The following is a 1,203-nucleotide window of genomic DNA, read 5'->3' as shown; positions in this document are numbered from 1 at the left end:
TTTATTGTAATTAAATGATGGCAACAAATCTTGTCAGTTATAGCACAGAACAATTTGGTGACCCATTTGTGTTCCATATAGAATTAAAAGTAGCAAATCCTCCTTGCAAGAGCTGAGTCTTGCTGATAAAGGGGAATTCATTAAGAATTCTTTAGCCAAGCTTATAACGGAAGCCATGCAGAGGTACAGCTTAAGAGAAAGAGGTTTTAACAGATGGGCCAGCATCTTAAGGGTGAAAAATCCTCTTTGTGTAAAATAAAGGAAGAAGGAGCTTCAGTTCAGTGAAATCTTCAAGAAACCAGCTCCAATTTCAATAGCGTTTTTCTGAATAGGAATCGGTGGTCTCTCACACTGGTGTTTACCCCATCGTTTAGGTATGAAAGCCACCTTCCTGAGGTAGACATGCGAAGGAGAAATAGAAATGGCAGAAGCCGGGCGGAGCACAAAGGAGCAACAGGAAACCTTTAACTAAAGAATAAAAACACTCAATTGACTGTGTAAAAAAGAGAGGAGTGGCAGGTGAGTTGAAAGGGCAGGAGATGGATGGCTATGTGGTGAAAATAGTCAAATGATTACCATCCACCTCAAATGTACCTTATTCCTTTATTTCTCTTGGATTTTTGTTGTTGCACTAATTGTGACCAATACTGTTTTGCACCCTTTCCAACCCAGGGTGCAATTCTTTTCCTGATTGTTCCTATATGATGTGAAAGAGTTTTTATAGCCCTCAGATTTATGTCTTGTCTTTCCCATTAAATTGTTATATTCTTAAGGCAAGACATCATTCATTCATCCACTTAAAATAACATATTAAAGGATGACTGTGTGTCAGAATTATACGAAAAAAAGATTAATAAGGCACTCAGAGATCACATGGTTTACCGGACAAGAGAGAAAGAAAGACTAATGATTTATAATACAATATAGTCGAGTATAATAATTGAGAGATTTTCTTATTTTATTTTTTTAGCCCTTTCTCTATGTATTACAACTTAATTAAAATTTTCTGTCTATCCATTCTGATTTTATGAGATGCAAATCTCAGATCAAGAGAAAGACTGAAAACTTAGAATACAAGAGAATGGATTTTGTCATAGAATGAGAAAAGAAGGTAAAAGAAGTGGAAAAATTGATAAGGAAGGTTTTTTGTATAAATCAGGTATGATTGACATATCACAAAATGCACATACTCAAAGTATACAA

The 1,203-nt window shown here is 35.2% G+C and overlaps 1 annotated feature.

The window, feature by feature from the left end:
• Positions 224-772: an enhancer, noted in NCBI's record as "NANOG hESC enhancer chr18:37906782-37907330 (GRCh37/hg19 assembly coordinates)". NCBI's record gives its function as "activates a minimal SCP1, AML or CMV promoter by ChIP-STARR-seq in naive H9 embryonic stem cells {active_cell/tissue: H9 hESC(naive)}" and the evidence as "EXISTENCE:reporter gene assay evidence [ECO:0000049][PMID:30033119]".

Source organism: Homo sapiens, chromosome 18, assembly GCF_000001405.40.
Source record: "Homo sapiens chromosome 18, GRCh38.p14 Primary Assembly".
NCBI classification, from domain to species: Eukaryota; Metazoa; Chordata; class Mammalia; order Primates; family Hominidae; genus Homo; species Homo sapiens.
Note: the sequence above shows the minus strand (reverse complement) of the source record. Positions and strands in the feature narration are given on the sequence as shown.